This window comes from Homo sapiens, chromosome 10, assembly GCF_000001405.40.
Source record: "Homo sapiens chromosome 10, GRCh38.p14 Primary Assembly".
NCBI classification, from domain to species: Eukaryota; Metazoa; Chordata; class Mammalia; order Primates; family Hominidae; genus Homo; species Homo sapiens.
This window is the reverse complement of record NC_000010.11, coordinates 6,874,923-6,895,508: the sequence shown is the minus strand read 5'-3', so window position 1 is coordinate 6,895,508 and position 20,586 is coordinate 6,874,923. Positions and strand designations below refer to the sequence as shown.

At 41.9% G+C, this 20,586-nt stretch overlaps 1 long non-coding RNA gene across 4 annotated transcripts in view, besides 1 other annotated feature; it reads left to right on the top strand.

Moving 5' to 3' along the window:
- LOC105376387 (uncharacterized) overlaps positions 1 to 20,586 on the top strand; it is a 294,200-nt gene that overhangs the window by 222,961 nt on the left and 50,653 nt on the right. The gene's annotated exons all lie outside the window — the stretch shown is intronic.
- Positions 18,007 to 18,507: an enhancer, noted in NCBI's record as "H3K4me1 hESC enhancer chr10:6918964-6919464 (GRCh37/hg19 assembly coordinates)". NCBI's record gives its function as "activates a minimal SCP1, AML or CMV promoter by ChIP-STARR-seq in naive H9 embryonic stem cells {active_cell/tissue: H9 hESC(naive)}" and the evidence as "EXISTENCE:reporter gene assay evidence [ECO:0000049][PMID:30033119]".

The window sequence follows — 20,586 nt, the reverse complement described above, 5'->3', positions numbered from 1 at the left end:
CATATGCTATCTATAATAAATGTACTTTAAAATATAAAGACATCTATAGGTTAAAAGTATGGAAAAGATATATCAAGCAAATAGTAATCTTAAGAAAGAGGGAACTGTTATATTAATATCAAACATCATAGACTTAAAGACAAGGAATATTACCAGGACCATATAAATTACATTTTACAATGATAAAATAATAAATCAAGAAGCTATAATAATCTCAATTTTGCATGCACTGAATAGCAAAGCTTTCAAATATATAAACACTGATGTGGATGAAAGTAAAAATAGATGAGTATATTTTACCTTTTCTCTCTTTAGATATCCACCAAACCTGATTTATAAGAGCTTTTAACTTATGATTTTGTAAGAAAGTTATAAACTGTCTGTTATAAATATTTCTAATTTGTTAGTTGTCATTTCATTTTATATAGGTGTTATATAGTCATTACGAACTTTTTCCTTTATGGTTCTTGGCTTTAGTATTATGCTTAGAACATATTATTTTTATCTGGATATTAGATGCAAAATTTCCATTGCATTTTTGTTTCCTTACAACAGTTTTTAAATTTCATTTAATTTTTCCTCTTAAATATTAATATTTTGGGAATGTAAGTACTACTAAATCCCATATAATTTTTAATTTTCAATTTTTAAGCATTTTGAAATATTTTCTTTCAGAATATAGTGTAGAATGGTAATCTGCTTTTTCCTAATCATTAATTTCTGCAACATTGTTGGAAATCGGTCTTTTTCCAGCTTTCTTTGCAAGTTTAGACTCAATAACTCTTTCCTCTCTCCCTCCTGCCTTCCCTATGGAACACTTACTGAACAGCTATTCCAAATCATGTAGTATGCTTGAAACTGCTATTCCATACCATGCAGTATGCTTGAAACTGCTACTCCATACCATGCAGTATGCTGGAAACTGCTACTCCATACCATGCAGTATGCTGGAAACTGGGGATTAAAACAACAACAACAACAAAAACAAGGTGTGGGAAAACCAAATACATTGGTTTTGAGCCCATGGTCTTTTGAAAAGTAGAGGAACAAATAGTAGATGTCTGAACATCTAAAGCACTGTGTTATCAAAGATGACGGAGTGACAGCCTCTGCCTGGGAGCCGTTGTAAGTGACATTTCATCTGCTCATAAAGAACAGGGAATGGGGAAGCTCACAGCAGTCCCACGAACAGTTCAGCACCGAGGGAGCCACTGTGCAGATGAGGGGCCGAGTGGGGCTGAAATCCAGCGCCAGTGCTTCCTACCAAGCAAGGTGGCCTGGCACTGGCTGTATCCTGCTGGGGAAAGGGGCCTTTGATTTACACAGAAGCTGTACCTACACCACTGACAGCCCTAGAAGAATCTAAGTCCAAGGATTTGGCATTCAGCGTGACATAGCGGAGGCAGATGGAGAGTTCCAGTGAAGCTTAAGCATGGACCCTGTAGACAGCCGTGGCTGGAGAGGTGCTTTCACAGTCTGTTAGAACATCTTAGAGATTTCACACTCTATCCTGTGGAATCAATTTTTCATGTTAGAACAGTAGGCCTACCCTGCATGATCAGTACTGCATTTTAGAAAACATGCCCTTGGCAGCAGCATGGAGGGTAGTCAGCAAGAGAATGGGAGAAGAGACTGAGATTAGAGGTGCTGAGGTTAGGGAGAGGTTGTGAGTAGTCAAGGCTACAGATGCTGAAGATTCAAATTTGTATGGATGGTGGGGAAGGCCACGCTTTGAGAGAGATTTCTGAGGCTGAATAAGTAGAACTTAAATCCCCACAAAGGTAAGGCCTAGAGAGAAATCAAATATTTTCCCTCGTGCACCCAATCTCTAAGCCTTCAGAAAGGACCTCATTTTAATTTGAGGTTTCGTTTAGAGAAGGTTGGGTGTGGTGGCCCGTGCCTGTAGTCTCAGCACTTTGGGAAGCTGAGGTGGGAGGATTGCTGAAGGCCAGGAGATCAAAACCAGCCTGGGCAACATAGAGAGACCCCATCTATACAAAAAAAAAAAAAAGATAAGCTTAGACTCTCTGGGCAACATAGCGAGACCCCATCTATACAAAAAAAAAAAAAAAAAAAAAAAAAGATAAGCTCAGACTCTCCATCTATACAAAAAAAAAAAGATAAGCTCAGACACCCAAGTGTCCCAAGGTGCTATATTTCCTGCTTACCTGTGAAATATATAATGAGTTCCAAAGTCTGTCGAGCTTAGAAACATAACCAGATCCACACCTGACCTTTTAGGACTTTACAATCTCATGAAAGATTTAAAAAAAAAAAAAAAAAAAAAACTTACATTTTTCTAGTAATATTTTGTAGCCCAGAAAATCTTTCCCTTCTGCAGTAATGATCTCTCCTAGGTGCTTAGTCCTCATGGACTGGAGAGCTAATTTCAGTGTGGTCTGAAAACATTCCTCTTACAGCCTCAGCCTTCCTTCCCTGTACCAAGCACACTGACCTCATAATCTAAGGCTTTAATGTATTCACCACACAATGTCTTTGCCCTCTTGCCGTCTGTAATTTATGCCTAACACATTCTGCTGCCTGGCATTATTTAATTCTGCTTTAAAAAAATGACAAGAGTTTTGTCAACCAGTTGGTAGGAATCACCCCATTAAAAATATTGTTATGCATAACGGCCTTTAAAAAAAATTCCCAGCAGTGAATTTCAGTTTTGTAAGATAATGCTTGTTTTAGCACTACCCTGCTGGTGGTAACAGTTATCATTAATATTATGAAGTAAAGATAATAGGAGCCCTAGGGAAAGAATGACCTCCCAAGAGAATTTTAGAGATTCTAATCCAGATTTGAATTACCCATCTGGGCAAATAAAAGGAAGCAGCAACTTAAATGTGTCAGGGTAGAACCTGAGCAGAATCTCTGAAATGCCCAGGCTACCCTGGGCTACAATTGACCTCTCTTTCCTTTAATATCATTTTCTTTGGCAGATGACAAATTGGTAATTAAAATATTGAGAGTATCCTAAAAAGTGCACAGAAATGGTATCTTTTTTTTTTTCCTCTTGAAGATCTTGCAACCAATACTCTGATTTTCATTTCCTGACTACAGTGTGTTTCTTGGGTATTTCTTCTTGTTTTGGATCCATTACTGATGAACTAGCGTGATGCTTTGAGGGAGTGTTAAAAACCTTGTTTTGTCATATTCCCAGGATTGTTTTTCTGGTTCCTTCTCTTTTGGGTAGGCTATGGCATAGGGAAAGTCTAGGGCTCAAGGCTGCTGTTCAGATCCTTTTGTCCCATGGAGTGTTCCCTTGATGTAGTCCTCTCCCCCTTTTCCAAGGGATGTGGCTTCCTGAGAGCTGAGCTGTAGTGATTGTTATCTGCCTTCTGGACCTAGCCATCCAGCAGGTCTACCAGGCTCCAGGCTAACACTGGTGGTTGTCTGCACAGAGTCCTGTGATGTGAACCGTCTGCAGGTCTCTCAACTGTAGATACCAGCACAGTATTTGGGGTGTGTCTCGGGTCCTACAGGAGCAATCTGCTTCCTTCAGAGGGCCTGTGGATTCTCTCTACTTTCCTGCCTTTTTCCTACAGTAGTTCCGGAGCAACAGTTCACGATGTGAGTCTCCACACACTGCTCTGTCTGTCTGCATGGCAGCTAGAATCTAATCCTGCCTCCTGTCTGCCATGAGCCTAAAAAATGTAAGTCTCAAGCTTTAAGACCAAAAGGGGTAATTTCTGTGTTTATCCAAAAAAACTATCTATTGGGCTATTGGGTCAGTTTCAAGGTGAAGTTAGGCACAGAGACACAGTTGTAGGGAGAAGGCCAGGTGAGGACGTGGGGAGAAGACAGCCATCTGCAGAACAAGGGCAGAGGTCTGGGGCAGACCCTACCCCACAGCCTTGGAAGGAACCAGCCCTGCCAACACCTCCGTCTTTAACTTTCAGCTTCCAGAACCAGGAGACCATAACTCTCTCTTGTTTAAGTCACCCAGTGTGTGATGCTTTGTGACAGGCAGCCCTGGCAAATGAATAAGCTGCCAGGGAACAGGAACTCCCATTGTGGAATTCACAGAAGTGAGAAATAAATATTTGTGTGATCCATTATATGTTTTCGGTTTGTTTGTCACAGAAACCAGTTTTATCTCACCTAAGAGGTGGGAAGAGAACGCTAAATATCACCATCTACATCATACACTTGTTTACGTCCCAGTCTTCCCCAAGAAGCCAAAGTCCTTTGGCCTGTCCTGTCGGGATTTCCCTGAAGGTTGGTGTGAAAGGAGGGCGTGGTGTGGAGTCCGGCGTGAGGGCAGGCAGGAGGGGCCAGGGAGGGACGGGGACGTGAGGGAGCCCTGAGGTCAACAGCACAGAGCACGGCTGGCGCCCCTTTCAGAATACCAGCCTGGGCTCCACAAGCTTCATTGCTGGGAAGAAATGCTTTGGCCAGGACCTTAAACTCTTCATCATTTACAAAGTGTTCATTTACACCCATTGTTTCATCAAAAGTTTAGAGCTACCCTGAGAGACAGGCAAAGTCAGGAAGTTGTCAAATTCAGTCCAGAGGCCTTTGATGGGGGCTGAGCAAGGAGCCTGTGCAGGGGCGGGAAAGGTGCATGGCCAGAGCAGAGCACTGGAGCCTGTGTGGGGCCTGAAGGGGTCCAGATGGTGGGGTCCATGTGGGGTATCGGCACTGCACAGAGGAAGAAGGGGCCTGCAAGTGTCAGAGCCGGAGTGAAGAGGGGATTTGTGTAGGAGGAGGCCCAGGGCAGAGTGCGGGTGCTCCAGAGGGTGAAGGGCACCCAGGCCAGAGAGGTGCCCACAGCTCTTGCAGCTCAGGAAACCTGCTACAGATGGGGGCAGTGACCAAATGGGTAAACATGTTAAGGATGATGGAAACCAGGTTTTTTTCTTACCGAAGAAGGGAATGACAAATATGGGGAAGGAAGGAAGGAAGGAAAGAAGGGAGGGAGGGAGGGAGGAAGGGAGGGAGGAAGGAAAGGAAAGAAAAAGAAAGAAAAGAAAGAGAAAAAGAGAGAAAGAGAGAGAGAGAGAGAGAGGGAGGGAGGGAGAAGACTAGAAAGACGAACCCTGTGGTGCAGGTTGGATTTGGAGGCTTTGGCGTGAACATACGGTTTTCAATGTACTGTATGGAGACAGCTGTACAAATAAATATGGATGCCAATGTGAGTATGTGTGTGCAACGGGCCTACCCAGTGCCCCAATACTGTTTCTAAATTTTGTTATCTACTAACAGGGCCCAAGTTTCTTTGACAAATGGCTGATTCCTGCTCTGGGACTAAAAAAGCACAAAATGAGTCTGGAATATCTTCCTTCTTGTGCAAAAAGTAATAAGAATTCACAGAATGATGGGGACATGTCAAAAGGACATGGTGGCTATCTCCACAGGGCTTCCACATGACCAAATCTCGGACAATGAGAATATTAAAATAAATATTTTATTGAGTAAAATGAGAAACTATGAGTTTATAGTGATATAGGTAAATGAATAACTTAGAAGGCTGATAAGGTGCAGGCTATTTACATAGTCTCAAAATATCTTCCCACTAAATACCTATTAATTATAAAGGAAAAATGTCATTAGATTGAAGGGTCAGGGAGAAATCACCTTGACCATGTGACTGAAATTAACATCTGTGATAAGTCCATCCAAACTGCACACCACCTGTGTGTAATGTTGCTGCCTAGCTACTCACGAGGCAATACCAGCAAAAACAGCCTGAGAGCTATTCTATAAAATAACAGCCCTTTGATCCGCAAAGATTTTGAGATCAGGAAAGTCGAGAGAAGACCTAGCAACTGTCCCAGATTGCAGGGAATGCATGGTATGACAGTTAAAATGACATGACAACTAAGGGCAGTCTGTGATCCGGAATAAGCTCCTTTTGCTGAAAAGGACGCTAATGAACGAGCTGGTGAAACACGAAAGCACAAACACTAACTTCCTGACTGTGGTGGCTGTGTTGTTGATTTTGTCCTTGTTTGTAGGAAATACACACTGAAGTTTTCAGGGGATGAAGCACTAGATTTGCATCATGTTGGAAACTCTCTCAACGGTTCAAGAAAAGCTCTTTGTACCGGAGTTGCAGCTTTTCTATAAGTTTGAGATTGTTTCAGAATGAAACAAATTTTGAGTTATCAGACCCATTTTACAGGGTCCCAGGGTGCTTAATTCACCAGCCAGTATGTGAGACAGCCAGGCCAAGTTTCTTGTTTAATTGACTTTTTAAAATTAATTAATTAATTAGAGACAGCGTGTCACTCTGCTGCACAGGCTGGAGTGCTGCGGTGCGATCACAGCTCACTGCAGCCTCGAACTCCTGGGCTCATGTGATCCACCCTCCTCAGCCTCCCAAAATGCTGGGATTCCAACCATGAGCCACTGTGCCTGATCTCAATAACTTTTATAATGCAACATTGTCTCAATATTAGAGTGGTGCAAAGAAAGTAAGTAATTCTACCAGGAGACAGACAAACCTATGTCTAAAACTCCACTCTGTTTAGTAGCTTTATGCCCTGACCACATGCTTCATCTTTCTCATCTGTAGTTATCTAAGGACACATTCAGTGCTAACGTTCTATGATTCTATACTGGGAAAAATCAGTGATAACCAACCAATAATTTTGGCATGGAAGTTGGGGGAAACATTTTTGCTTTCATTACATTTCCTCCCAGGTCCATAAATCAGAGAAGCTGTTACATTACAGAGCAGTGTATCTCCTATTATTGAAATCTAAGAGTGGTCTGAGGGTGGAGTTGGGAATGACGGCTTAAATTATTCATCATGACAGAAATAATTATATTCATACATGAGACAGAAACCCAAATGCCTTTTAGGAGGCCAACTTGAGAAATGTTCCCCAGTGATACAGAAAGTAATAAGATGGGGCCCAGGCCCTATTCACAAGCTTTGATTTTTCGACACTTGCAAAGTGCCCTGTGCTGACAAATGTCTGATTAACAAAATTAAGAAGAGATTTGGCTGCATTCTTAATCCCTCTCCTGGGCCTTTCTGTTTCTGGATTTCTAGGTTGATTATCTTTTCAGGTCAGACTGTTCTCCCTCTGTCTCATTCTTTATCATTTGTAGTTGAGTCAATATGAAGGTTTTCTGCCACAAGAGGCCTAGGGTAGAATAACTATCTCCTTCGCAAGAGGTTCCGCTTCACCAACAATTACACCCCATTATGTCTCAGAAAGGCTGTGGATATCTTGTCACCTTTCCCTTCAAAAGTTCATATGTTTCTTCAAAACAGAAATATAAGCTATTGTATGAAAAAAGTGGCAAGAATGTTTTCATTCAAACCTGGATATGACTTGTGTAGACCCTAGGGCTCTTTTTGTTGCTGTTTGAGTTCACTGGTGTATATTTTGGAGGTTGGGGTGATGAGGGTGGATAGGGAGTATCTTGGGGAACAATCAGTCTGTATGTACACAAAGCCATGGTTATGATATTGAAACTCTAGAGATAGGTATGATTATTAGTGTTATTATTGTTGTTATTTCATATTTGAGGACGATGAAACTGAGATTCTGATGTCTTCCCCTAAAAGTCAGACAGGCAGTAGAATTGAAACTTAAACATAGGTTTTTCAACTCAAAAATGCCAACCACTAATATGAGCATTTACTAAGAATTGAATTGGTTTATTAAGTATAAACATTGGACTATAAATGACTTGGCTAGTAACTCTGACAAGCAATGAATCATACAAACCATTATTATCAAGGTTAGTTAAAGACTTAATAATATTTTAAGGTTAAATAATTTATTACTAAAATAATATATATTATTATATAAGATTACTATATATCATCAAATACTATATATTATATATGTGTTTTAATTATCTTCTTTCCAGTTAATCCAGTTGAACAAAAATACGTTTACCTTTCTGACCTGGTGGGAAAACATCTGGCATAGCCCCAAATGATATTTTGGCTTTGACAGGTTCTAAAGAAAGGAGAAAAGAGTAAAACAGTGAACAATTACATACATTACAAAAATTTCCTTTAAAAAAAGCTTTATAACAAATAAAGATGAAAACATAAAAAAAAAAAAAATTAGAGATTTGAAGACATTAAATAGAACCAAGGACAAAGCAAAGCAAAAATGGGTGATGTCCTCATTTTTAGCTTAACATTTAAAAAGATATGTATATTAATACTCAGGCCAAAAAGAAGGGAAAAATCAGCAGGACCTGAATGTGTGGGTTGATGGGGGATGGGGGCTCTCTTGAGGGAACCTGTTCACAATGTTGCATTCATTTTTTTGGCTCTGCATTGCAGCCCCAGGGAACTTCTCACCTTTGATTTTTCCACTGCAAAGTGAGGAGTTGAACTAAAGTCTCGCAAAGGTCCCTAGAGCTTAATGTTCTACAGCAAGGGTGTCCCTACTTTTGGCTTCCCTGGGCCACATTGGAAGAAGAAGAATTGTCTTGGGTCACACACAAAATATACTGACACTAACGATAGTTGATGAGCTAAAAAGCAAAACCACCAAAAAATCTCAGAATGTTTTAAGAAAGTTTAGGAATTTGAATTGGGCTGCATTCAAAGCTGTCCCGCACAGCATGTGTCCTGCAGGCTGCGGGTTGGACAAGCTTGTTCTAGAGCTCTATGGTTTTATAATTGAATAAAGTCAATTTCATGAAAAACTAGAAAGTGAAAATTCATGACAGAAAAGATCAATTGTTTCCAAATCTCCAATAGCCAAAAATAATGAAAACAACAGCCACAAATCACTGCACACCAGGCCTAGCTCTGAGTGGTTTATATCTTTTAAGACAGCAATCCCCAACCTTTCTGGCACCAGGGACCAGTCTCATGAAAGGTAATATTTCCACGGATCGGGATGGGGGGATGGTTTTAGGATGAAACTGTTTCACCTCAGGTCATCAGGCAATAGATTCTCATAAGGAGCGTGCAACTGAGATCCCTGGCATGCACAGTTCACAATAGGGTTTGCGCTCCTATGACAATCTAATACCACCGCTGATCTGACAGGAGGTGGAGCTCAGGCGGTAATGCTTGCTCACCAACCGCTCATCTCCTACTGTGTGGCCCTGTTCCTAACAGGCCACAGACCAGTACCAGTCCATGGCATGGGGTTTGGGGACCCCTGTTTTACAGCATTCCTTCTGTATAAGCATCTTTAGGAGGACGGCACTAAGAAGTCATTTCCAGCTTTCAGAGGAGAAGGTTTGACACAGAGGTCACAGAGCATGCCTAAGATCCTGTCACTGGTGAGGGCCTGGGTGGACTCAATTCAAAGGCCAAGCAAATTTCCTTCAAAGGTAAAAGGCAAACTGGAAGGTGTTAGAGGAGACCTGAAGAATTGGATGCTGAAAACAGTTTAAGGGAAAGTGGTAGGTTTAAGCGTCGGGAGACCTATTATAATTATGGCAAATTAATTAATTTGCCTTGTACTGAATCCACATCGCTCATAAGATCTCTCACCTCAGTGCCTTGGTTTAGTAGTAATAATGAGAACAACAACAAATGCCAACAGTAATAGCAGCTGACGTACATTGAGCACTAACTGTATGCAATAATATGCAAGGAACTGTTAAACATTCACCTCGGCTGGGCGCAGTGGCTCGTTCCTATAATCCCAGCACTTTGGCAGGCAGAAGTGAGCAGATCATCTGAGGTCAGGAGTTCAAGACCAGCCTGGCCAACATGGTGAAACCCTGTCGCTATGAAAAATACAAAAATTAGCCAGGCGTGGTGCCATGCACCTGTAATCTTAGCTACTTGGGAGGCTGAGGCAGGAGAATCACTTGAACCTAGGATATGGAGGTTGCAGTGAGCCGAGATGATGCCACTGCACTCCAGCCTGGGCGACAGAGCGAGACCCTGTCTCAACAACAACAACAAAAAAAAACAAACTAACTAAGAAAACATTTATCTCATAGAGACCTTGCAAAACACCAGCAGATACACTTTGCTTCCTGTTTTGTGGATAGATAAGTTGCAGTTTGAAGAGTTTAAATCATTTCCTCCAGGTGACATACAGTAACTGGTAGAGCCGCAAATTGATGAGGGTTCTGTTGGATTCTGAAGCCATGTGTTCCTCTCTCTCCCCACTGCCTCAGATGCCATTTTAATGCCTTCACACTGCACTGGCACCATCAGTGGCAGCCAGCTACTGTCTAGAGTGTTCAATGAACAGAAACATCCTATTTCCTAACCATGTTAGAAAAAATGAGAGCTAGAAAAAAGATGCAAATGAAAACATCAACTATCATAAATTGACCTTGTAGCATGGATCTCAACCAAAGCTGGAATATAAGAGTCCCCATGGAAGTTGACTAAAACAGAAGCAAAAGTGAAAGTGCACATGGCTGACACTCTCCCCAGAATGCAGACATTATCTCTTTATCTTCAAGGAGAATATCCAGTTGTCCCAGCACTATTTGTTAAAAAATCGATTCTTGTACCTTCATCAAAGATCAACTGACCATAAATATAAGAGATTACTTCTGGACTTTCAATATTATTTCATCGTCTACATGTCTGTCCTTATGCCAGAACAATACTGATTACTGTAGTTTGTTGTTAAGTTTTGATATTGTGAAGTGTGTGTGTCTTCTTGGGCATGTATAATTTGGAAAAGCTTCGCTAGAATTCTTATACATAGCCAAGGGGTGAGAACCACTGGTCCCAGAAGGCTTTGTTCGGGTGACATCACTAAGGAGATAGGAGATAAGTTTCAGAATAAGCATTGTTTATTTCTGGAAGTGACTCTGGACTCATGAAGAACCTGAGCTTTCCAATATGTCTCCAAAGCTGCTGCTTCAGTGACCAGGACAATAACAGCATTTAACTTCAAAGAAGTGGCTTTCTTTGGGCAAAAGTCCTCTGTTTATTGCTGTTAATGTCAAAGCTTCCATTAAAACATAAAGCTTTTCAAAGTCTAGGTCATAAGGTCTTAACTTGGAGTAAGAGGCTTATTGCAAACAATAATATTTGCATGTATGTGCAAATTCTGGGAGAGGATCTAAAATTTTTTATAAAACTCTCGAAGGGGTTCATGATGCAAAGCAAGAAGCCAAATCCTGTGGATAAATCTGCTCTTTGCAAACCCTATCAGAAGAATCCGAATCCTAACCCAGATGATGGTGGACACTTCCGAGTGACTTGCTGACGACTGTTTCTTAGGCTTCTTCAGAATGGGGGAGTTAGTTGTTTCTCTTGGGGAGAAGTGAGCACTGACTGCCAATGATGCTGAACACTAGGGGTTCCGTCTAGGGCTTGTTGCTTGCTGCACAGAAAGGCAATCACTGAGATGAATATTTCCAGGAAAGAAAGGCTTTGTTCAGGTGACATCACTAAGGAGATAGGAGATGAGTTTCAAATCCATCTTCCCAACCAATCAAAACTTGGGTTTATCTAGCGAGGAAGGAATGTAGCTATGTGTGGGAATACAGAGATTAGGGAGGATAAGGAGGAGGAGTTGGCCAGCAGGAAGCAGGTGGTCAATTAGGCAGTCATGGTGGATGAGGGATCTGGCAACTCATTGTCTGGATGTGGTTATTTGGTAAGTTTCAGTTCCTTGATACTATCTGGGAGGCCTGAAAGAACTCAGATAAGGGCCAGGCTTGGTGGCTCACACCTGTAATCCCAGCACTTTGGGAGGCTGAGGCAGGTGGATATCCTGAGGTCAGGAGTTTGAGACCAGCCTGGCCAACATGATGAAACCCCATCTCTACTAAAAATGCAAAAACTAGCAGGGTGTGGTGGCACATGCCTGTAATCCTAGCTACTTGGGAGGCTGAGGCATGAGAATCACTTGAACCCTGGAGGCGGAGGTTGTAGTGAACAGAGATCATACCACTGCACTTCAGCCTGAGTGACAGAGTGAGACTTCATTTAAAAAAAAAAAAAAAAAAAAAAAAAAACCCAGAGAAGACAAATGTAAGTTTCAACCTTTAATTTTAAGGGGGTGAATTTCTGTGTTTATTCAAAAAACCCACAAACATCAGTTCTATAGGGAAATTGGGCTGGTATCACCAACAACCCTGAGAAACTGTACACTGTGTGTACCTATATTCTGATCATCTGCGAGAGGACAGAGCTCTGGAAGTTTCTTCCCATTCCCAAGTTCTGTGTCCAGCAGCGACCCTGGAGATTTTCAGAAAAGGAAATAGTATATGTAATAGGCTTACTTTCCAGTGAAAACCTTATACCTGCCATTCTTGCCACCCAAGGTGAACCATCCACTCTCCCAGATGCTTCCAGATTTCCTAATTTATGAAATCCTTCTAACACTGCATTTATGTGATGCTGGGCAGTCAATTTTAACTGCATACAATCCAGTCAAAAGCTCCTATCATACGAGGATAATCACCTAGATGTTTGAAACCTTTGTAAACTGTGGGCCCAATCTTTCTTCCCAGCTTTTTTCATGTCCATTCTTCAGGAAGCAAAGATTCTTCTCTTGACAACTCCTTTGTTCTCATGAATATTACAGAAACATTCTTGGTCCTGTCATTTGACAAAGAAACATAAATATTTAGATATTGCGCAGAAGTGGTTGACTGGAAGTATAGACAAATGATCAGGTTTGGGATGTCATAGTTTATTCATTCAGGAATAAAATAGAGACAAAACGACTCCACGGTAGATAGTGTGAAGTGGAAAAGGGTATTTAGGCAGGATTCTTCAGCAGATTGCATGCTGCCAACCTTGCCTTTTTGGATTGTTGAGAAAACAGTCATATAGAGAAACCATAGATTTCAATGGTGAAGGGGAAGAGAATCAAAAATTGTTATACTTTTATGTCCAGCACATTGTATAAGATCTGGATTTCTTCTTTGTTTCCTGAGGCCAGGACCCAACTGTCTCTTCTAAACTCGTGAACTTTTTTTTTTTTTTTGAGATGGAGTCTCACTCTGTTGCCCAGGCTGGAGTGCACTGGCGCAATCTCGGCTCACTGCTAGCTCCACCTCCCGGGTTCACGCCATTCTCCTGCCTCAGCCTCCTGAGTAGCTGGGACTACAGGAGCCTGCCACCATGCCTGGCTAATTTTTTTTTTTTTTGGTGGGGGGGTATTTTTTAGCCAGGATGGTCTCGATCTCCTGACCTTGTGATCTGCCTGCCTCAGCCTCCCAAAATGCTGGGATTACAGGCATGAGCCACCGCACCTGGCCAAAACTCATGAACTCTTAAAGCAACCATGTGTTAATGAGGCCAGTATGAGATGGGAGTAGGCACTTCATCTTCATCTCATCAAATAAGCAACACATCATTGACTCCATAAGATCTGCAGCTTGATTGAAGCTTCTATGGCAGTGACCCAGATATTCTGGTTCATAAAAATACTAAATCCTTTAATGAAACACACAGAATTAAGTTAATATGATTTATGTCACCCGTCACCCAGGGGGCTGATGCTTCATAGTGATCTTGATTAAAGGGAGATTATGAAATACATGCAACCTCCCTCATTTGCATTTAGTTCAAAGAAAATGGCCCAAATGGAACTAAATAGGCATTTGAGCACAAGGAAAAGATTTTTTTTTTTAAATTAGGCATGAAAATGAAACAACGTGCCAATAATTTGCACAGCATTATTTTTGGACTAGAAAGTGAATTAGGCATGAAAAAAGTTCCAAACTGATTATGTTAATTATGTTTCATCTGAACAAGGAAATTTAATAATCTCCATCCCCCAATATACATCAATCTCAAATTTGGTACTTTAAGCTATTTCCATCTTAGAATGTTGAGTGGTGCATATTTTAAACACATGTGGTTTCTTTTTTGATTCGAAGGAAGAAAAAAGTTAGAAACTAGTATGTAATACTCTGTGACATTTGTTTCATTATCTTCATATTACAGGTAAAAATATTGAAGCTCAGTGGGTCCAATCTTAATAGTAGGAAGAAGTAAAGCAGAAATTTAAATTCACGCCTATCTGTTTCCATAGCTCATTATTTTCTACCGCATCATGTTGCCTTCTATTCTTTCCTTTATATCTGGAGCAAAGACTATTTCGCATGACTAATATACCCGTCAAATCCAGAAATGGTACCTGTAACAGAAAACACTCATCTAGCTAATACTGTGTACATCACTTCCTTGGACATGATTATAGGTTTACTATTATCTCTTTCTATAAAACAGTGGTATCTGCTTCCCTTGGACTGAACTAGGCATTGTTTTCACGTGATTTCATAATTTCATATGATCAATGAGAGCCAGCATTGGTGAGTATGTGAAAATTACAGTGGGCTGGATGCAGTGGCTCATTCCTGTAATCCCAGCACTTTGGAATGTTGAAGCGGGAGGATCACTTGAGCCCAGGAGTTTGGGACCAACCTAGGAAACATAATGAGATCTTGTATCTACAAAACATAAAAATTTAGCCCGTGTGTGGCAGGCAGGCATCTGTGGTCCCAGCTACTCAGGAGGCTGAGGCAGGAGGATGGCTTAAGCCCAGGAGGTCAAGGCTGCAGTGAGCCATGATCACGCCACTGCATTCCAGCAACAAAGCAAGAACCTGTCTCAAAAAACAAAAAATACAGTACATTAGTTGACAATTGCTGACATGAACAGGTGCCTGGCTGTTGGCAAAAAACTGACAGGTCTCTGTGCATTTATTTACCTAACCACATTTAAGATGTATGCAAAACAGCTGATGTAAGAACAAAGAAATGTTAAGAGAAAATGCTAAGAAAATAGTAGAGCAAAGCTCAAACAGATAACTAGATCAAAATGAGATGCTATCATGAGGAAGAGGAATCAACACTGTAGAAGAAAGAGAAGAATGATTGGTTGTAAGAACAAATCATAAAAAGGTTGAAGGGGCCACTAGTCAACAAACTGTAATCACAATGGAACAGCAAATCATAAGAAATAAAACGGACTTGCTATGAAATTAGGTATTATTCTCATACTATGCCTACCTCTTATTCCAGCTGCTACAAATATGTTTTTTTCTGTTGAGAAAAAAACCAGTTTCCTCAAAATAAATGTAATGCTTTTCAATGATTATCATCTTTCAGGGACAGACATTTGTCACAATCATCTTGTATCTTCCAAACCTCTATTTATTTACAAACATTTATGTATGTCCTTTCAGCAGCTTAGTAATTGGACTTGTTAAAGTATTTTATCTAGGAAAGATAATATTGCCAATTGTGTGTGTAATGAATAAATACACAAATGTTAATATCACATTAATGATAATTAAGCTCTGCTGTAGTGATGCGTGTGGTGATGAACTCTGCTAGTAATGTAATGAATTCATTCTCAAAGCACAATGTTCCTGACAGCAATTCACAGCTGAGATCTGGATGGTTCAGTGCAGTATCCCTGGAGTCGAGATTGGTGTTTGGCACAAAGAAGGTGCTCAGTGATTGTTTGTTGAATGAATGAAGAAATAAGAAAAAAAGAGAAGGGACAAAGTCTAACATTGTAACCTACAATTTTAGAAGAAAAGAGAGCAGGAACACAAACCAGCTTCAGTATCAATATGCATTTTTACTACTTGGACAATCAAACAACTGCTAACTTCAAGAGCAGGATAAGTGCTGAGAACCTTAGAGAAGCCCACCTGGGGAGACCACTGTGTACACACTAATTTCAATGCTAGAAGAAGAACCTTGGTAACCGGTGGAGCGCCTATCCTAGATGCAAAGGATTGCATCTCAACAGTTTGCTCGTAATTCTTCCAAGGTTTGTCAAAACTGCAAATAGCTTTACACAGAATGATATTTTGGTAATAATCACTGGAAAAATGAGTATGAGATATAAATCAATAATATGTACAGCTTACAAATGTACCCAAATTAAAGATCTTTTATAGCAATGAAATCTAGGTCCAATAATGTAATAGCAGACACTTCAAATGAAAGGGTTTTACCAAGAAAAGAGGAGCTGCTTTAAATGATTTAATAGCAATCTCAAAAGGCTTCTGAAATTTCAATATGAAATTAATGTTAACCGATATTTTACTACACACCTACAAACAGATGCTAATGGATAAATATTGTGTTTCATTTATTTTATTTTATTTATTTAGTTTTCCAAGACAGAGTCACTCTGTTGCCCAGGCTGGAGTGCAATGGCTTGATCTTGGCTCACTGCAACCTCCGCCTCCCAGGTTCAAGCAATTCTCCTGCCTCAGCCTCCCAAGTAGCTGGGATTACAGGCGTACACCACCAGGTCCAGCTAATTTTTGTGTTTTTAGTAGAGACAGGGTTTTGCCATGTTGGCCAGGCTGGTCTCAAACTCCTGGCCTCGTGATCCACCTGCCTCAGCCTCCCAAAGTGCTGGGATTACAGGCTTGAGCCCCCACGCCCAGCCTATTCAGTAAATTCTTTCAAGCTTTATAGACCTATCTGGGCTGGGTTTGTCAACATCTTGTTCTTCTAATCAGCAGTATATTCATGAGAACGAGAACTCAGCATCTTTTTTACTCCACTGGGGTGGCTATTTTAAAGTGAGAGTCTTTCAATCTACTCTAAGGGAAGAAGGATTCCACAAAGGTGTCTTTAAAACATACTATTTCCCTTATCAAAAGAGACAGGAAAAGTCCTCCCTCTCCTCTCTAAAGTTGTTCTGGGCTGCCTCAACATGTCAACTTGGTCTCTACAACAGCACCCTGTGCGTGATGGAAACTTTGATTGGCAGAAAGGAGCTGTAAGTGCTGAAGATTAATCAAAATAAGACTTTTCTGCAGGGAATGCTGGTTTGTAATAAAACATTCGGCGTGTTGCCTAGCATTTCGACGATGAGCTGCACAACATGAAAGGGTTTTTTGTTTTTTTTTTTAATTAAAATGAGTAAACCCTACAAAGCACACAATGTCTAAAAATCTCCATGTGGTAAAAGACACATGCTCAAACCAGTGAGGGACTCAGAAACTGTGGGTCCTCTTTTGGACAGAGCCCTGACTTCAGGTGAATTGATTTTTCTCTGCAGTGGTATAATGGTGGGCAAGAGGTTAATACTTCACCTCTCAAAGCCTCATTTTTTTAAAGCAATCAAATGAAAATATTTGAGTCGCTGCTCTCTAAGTATCTCTCCCACCTCTAAGTTGCTCCTGCCATCTGTGTGGACTGAAGCACAAAGCCAAGCCAAACCATTGAGTTCGGTGCCTCTGGAAGCATTGGTAATCTGCACATTTCAGATTATTCCATTGATGAGGGAAGAGCAGGGTGAGGCCAACTTTCCATGTGAATTCCTTATTCCTTCTGTTGGTAAGGACCTCAGATGAGTCCTACACAAGCCAGCTCTGGCAAAGCAGTTATTTAAGTGACATCAGCTAATGGGCAAGCAGCCCATGAGAATGAGTACTCAGAAACCTACGACAGGGCATGCAGGGGCCCCAGGAGCTCGGGGGCCTGTTGTAGGTCATGCCTCCTGTGTTGCCACGGTGCCCTCCTGCCACCCGGAGGAAGAAAGAGGAGGGAAGAGACCCAGAGAGCAAACACAAGCTGGGGCTTGTGTCTCCACAGAGCGTTCTTTTTGGCAAGCGGTCCTGCTGGGATTGATTCAGACTCTCGAAGGAAATTGATGAATGGTTCTGTGGACAGAATGGAATCTAAAGAAACAGTTTTTCTTGCCTTCCCTTGTACCTTGGGAGTGAGGGTTGAATTACCTTTCTGACTTGATTCACTGCCGCTGAGAAACTCATTAAAGGGCCCTCTGTCTAAATGGTTTATTTGATGTCCTTATAGCTGGAGAAGGATCGTGAGGAGGCAGGCAGAGCTACGGATGCATTTTTGTCTCACTAAAGTGCACGTATTTCATTAAGGATGATGTGGCATGGTGTCCATTTGCTGGTAAAGACACCCTGTCTTGTCTGTCAAAGCCTACAGCGTTCTCTGTGGCTGGCCCATCGGTATTTTATACATGACACATAGAACCCCCCTTTCTAATTACGTTCTTCAAGAAAAAACTCACACACCCAACCCATAGCATTGCAGGAATGTTCCCCGCCTGCTCTGAAAGGCAGAGGGCTCATAGCCCTATTTTGTTAGCGGATCATAGCTTAGGCCGGCACCACCTGTCACGTTGTGGGAGACAAACTGCCTGCATTCTGGACGCGGTCTCTGGCTGCCGTGCACAGCAGGTGTCAGAGGCAGCACCCAAGGCTCACATCCACCAGAATCGTCACAGGCAGAAAGCTGGATCTGGAGTTTCCACCCTGAACTCTGCTATCAGGAAACCACGTCCTCTTCTCTCTTTCAGCCTTCGTTTCCGTATCCAGGGATGATGATATTATTATGGAGATTTTCTAGGAAGACTAAAAGAGAAATTATATCTGAAAACCATGTATAAACTGAAAACATGCAGTTAAAAGCTTTTTTAATTATTTTATTTCTGTGATCCTCATTTAGCACTCTGATGGTTAATGAGGTACTGTACTAATCATGTTATTTATTAACATCTTTTGTATTTTATGATGCTTTGACATCTCGGGGCCTTGTGAATCTGGGAAGGAATGGCCCCCTGAGGTTAGCTAATTTCTAGGGATACTAGGCTTGCAGATGAGTGCGCCCATGACATGCAAACCAACCAATCCTGTCCATGCCCCACCCTCATCCTTTTATCCGGTTCCTGCAGTCTGTGATACTATTCTCCTGCCCTCCATCACCCTAGGACCAGGTATCTGACAAGGGGGGACCACCCCAGCACCCCGGAGCCTGCAGAAATGGCTTGAACTACCCAGCCCCAGGTGTGTGCGCAGCTCCCTCACCTTGCCTCCTGTGACACCCAGTAAAGGCTTCCACCCGGCTCTTCCCTCCTTCCCCCCGGCTGCTGGCTGGCCCTGCTGCTTCCCCACATGGCCCTGCGTGGTGTGCCCTCCCCCTGTTTCCAGGGGTGATGTGAGAGTTTAAATGCTTCCTGTCTTAACAGTCATTTCTGTGTCTGTGCAGGTCTTATCATACCTGATTAAAACAAATCCCAGGGGTGTGTGTGTGTGAGAGAGAGAGAGAGAGAGAGAGAGACAGACAGAGAGATATTTTAGAGACAGAATCTTGCTCTGTTGCTGGAGTGCAGTGATGTCATCATGGCAAATTGCAGCCTCCATCTCCTGGGCTCAAGTAATCCTCCCGCCTCAGCCTCCCAAGTAGCTGGGACCATAGGCACTCATGCCCACACGTGGCTAATTTTTTATTTCTTGTAGAGACGGAGTCTCCCTATGTTGCCCAGGCTGGTCTTGGACTCCTGGACTCAAGCGATCCTCCCACCTCAGCCTCCCAAAATGCTGGGATTACAGGCATGAGCAACCATGCCTTGCCCCAGGTAAAATTTTAAGATGGGTACCCATACGAATACAGCATTTCTGGAATGAACAAATCCATGGAACAGAAAAGGCAATGACCTGTGTGTTTGGTGAGGCTGCTTCATCTCTGGGTGGCAGGGTTGGAGTGGGTGCAGCTGGGGCTTACTGGATAAGCTGCCCCTTGGAATTGCGAGCAGGTGCCAGGTGCCTGAGCTCCTCCTCAGGGCAGGCAGGGCAGCTCTTGTTGGTGTGGGATTTCTTTAATCGCCACCACCCGCTCCTGCTGTGCCACAAAGGTTTAATGCTTGGCCAGACTGAAAACTATTGGTATGAATCACCTATAAAGTTTGCTCCAGCTTTAAAATATTATTATACTAAATAAACCCTGGGGGACCATTTTGTGGGCCAAAGATATTTGAGGTAGTTGAATTAGATATAGAAAGATCCAAAATATTAGATCGCATAGGCTACTCCCTTTGATCTAAAAAAAAAATACATTTACCATCTTTTAAAATGAAGTAGAAGGAGGGGGCAAGGTTTTCCCCCACATTTGAGCGGATTAGAAAACTGTTGTGTCCATTAAGTAAGGATGATGACACGTGATCATGTGGCCTTCTGGGTTTTCCTTTTGGCCCTGAGCTGTTTGATAGAAGGAACAGCTTTGTGATATATAATTCAGTGTCTTGTATCTGGCCCCGGAGGCTGCTGAGCTAGTTTATATAATGATCATATTCATGAGGGAAAAATTAATTGCATCTTCCTCACCAGTTGCTGAGTGCTACAGTATCATTGGAAAAACCAGAATTCCCCTTAGGAAACACAATTTCAAGTTAATATACAGCAATGCTGTGCATGACTTTATTAATCTAGAGCCAGGGCAGATGAGGAAGTGGGAACTGGCCGACTGCAGGCTGGAGACGTTGCTCTTGCCTGGCCAGTCCACGGGCCAGCTGTGTGATTGGGGTCACTCCCTTAACCTCTCTGTTCTTTAGGTTCCTTCCCTAAATGTGGAGCTGAAATAATCACATATATCTCTTGGGCACACATAATAAAAACAAATGAGATAATGTCTTTGGAGGGATTTGAGTTCCTTGAAGATAATTACCATAACATACACAAACACTCTGCGTGTGTGTGTGTGTGTGTGTGTGTGTGTGTGTGTGTCTATGCATGATATCAGTATAACAAAGGCAGAAACTGTAACCCCCCAAAAATGTAATTCTACTCCACCCATTCTCCTTAACATAAAAGCCATTTCTCCTCCACAGAGCGGCTGTGAAAATTACTGCTAAGTTACTACTAATGCTCCCAACAGATTGCATTTGGAAAAGGATGTTTCGTGTCCTGCAGCTAGAATTCCATGTGTCCT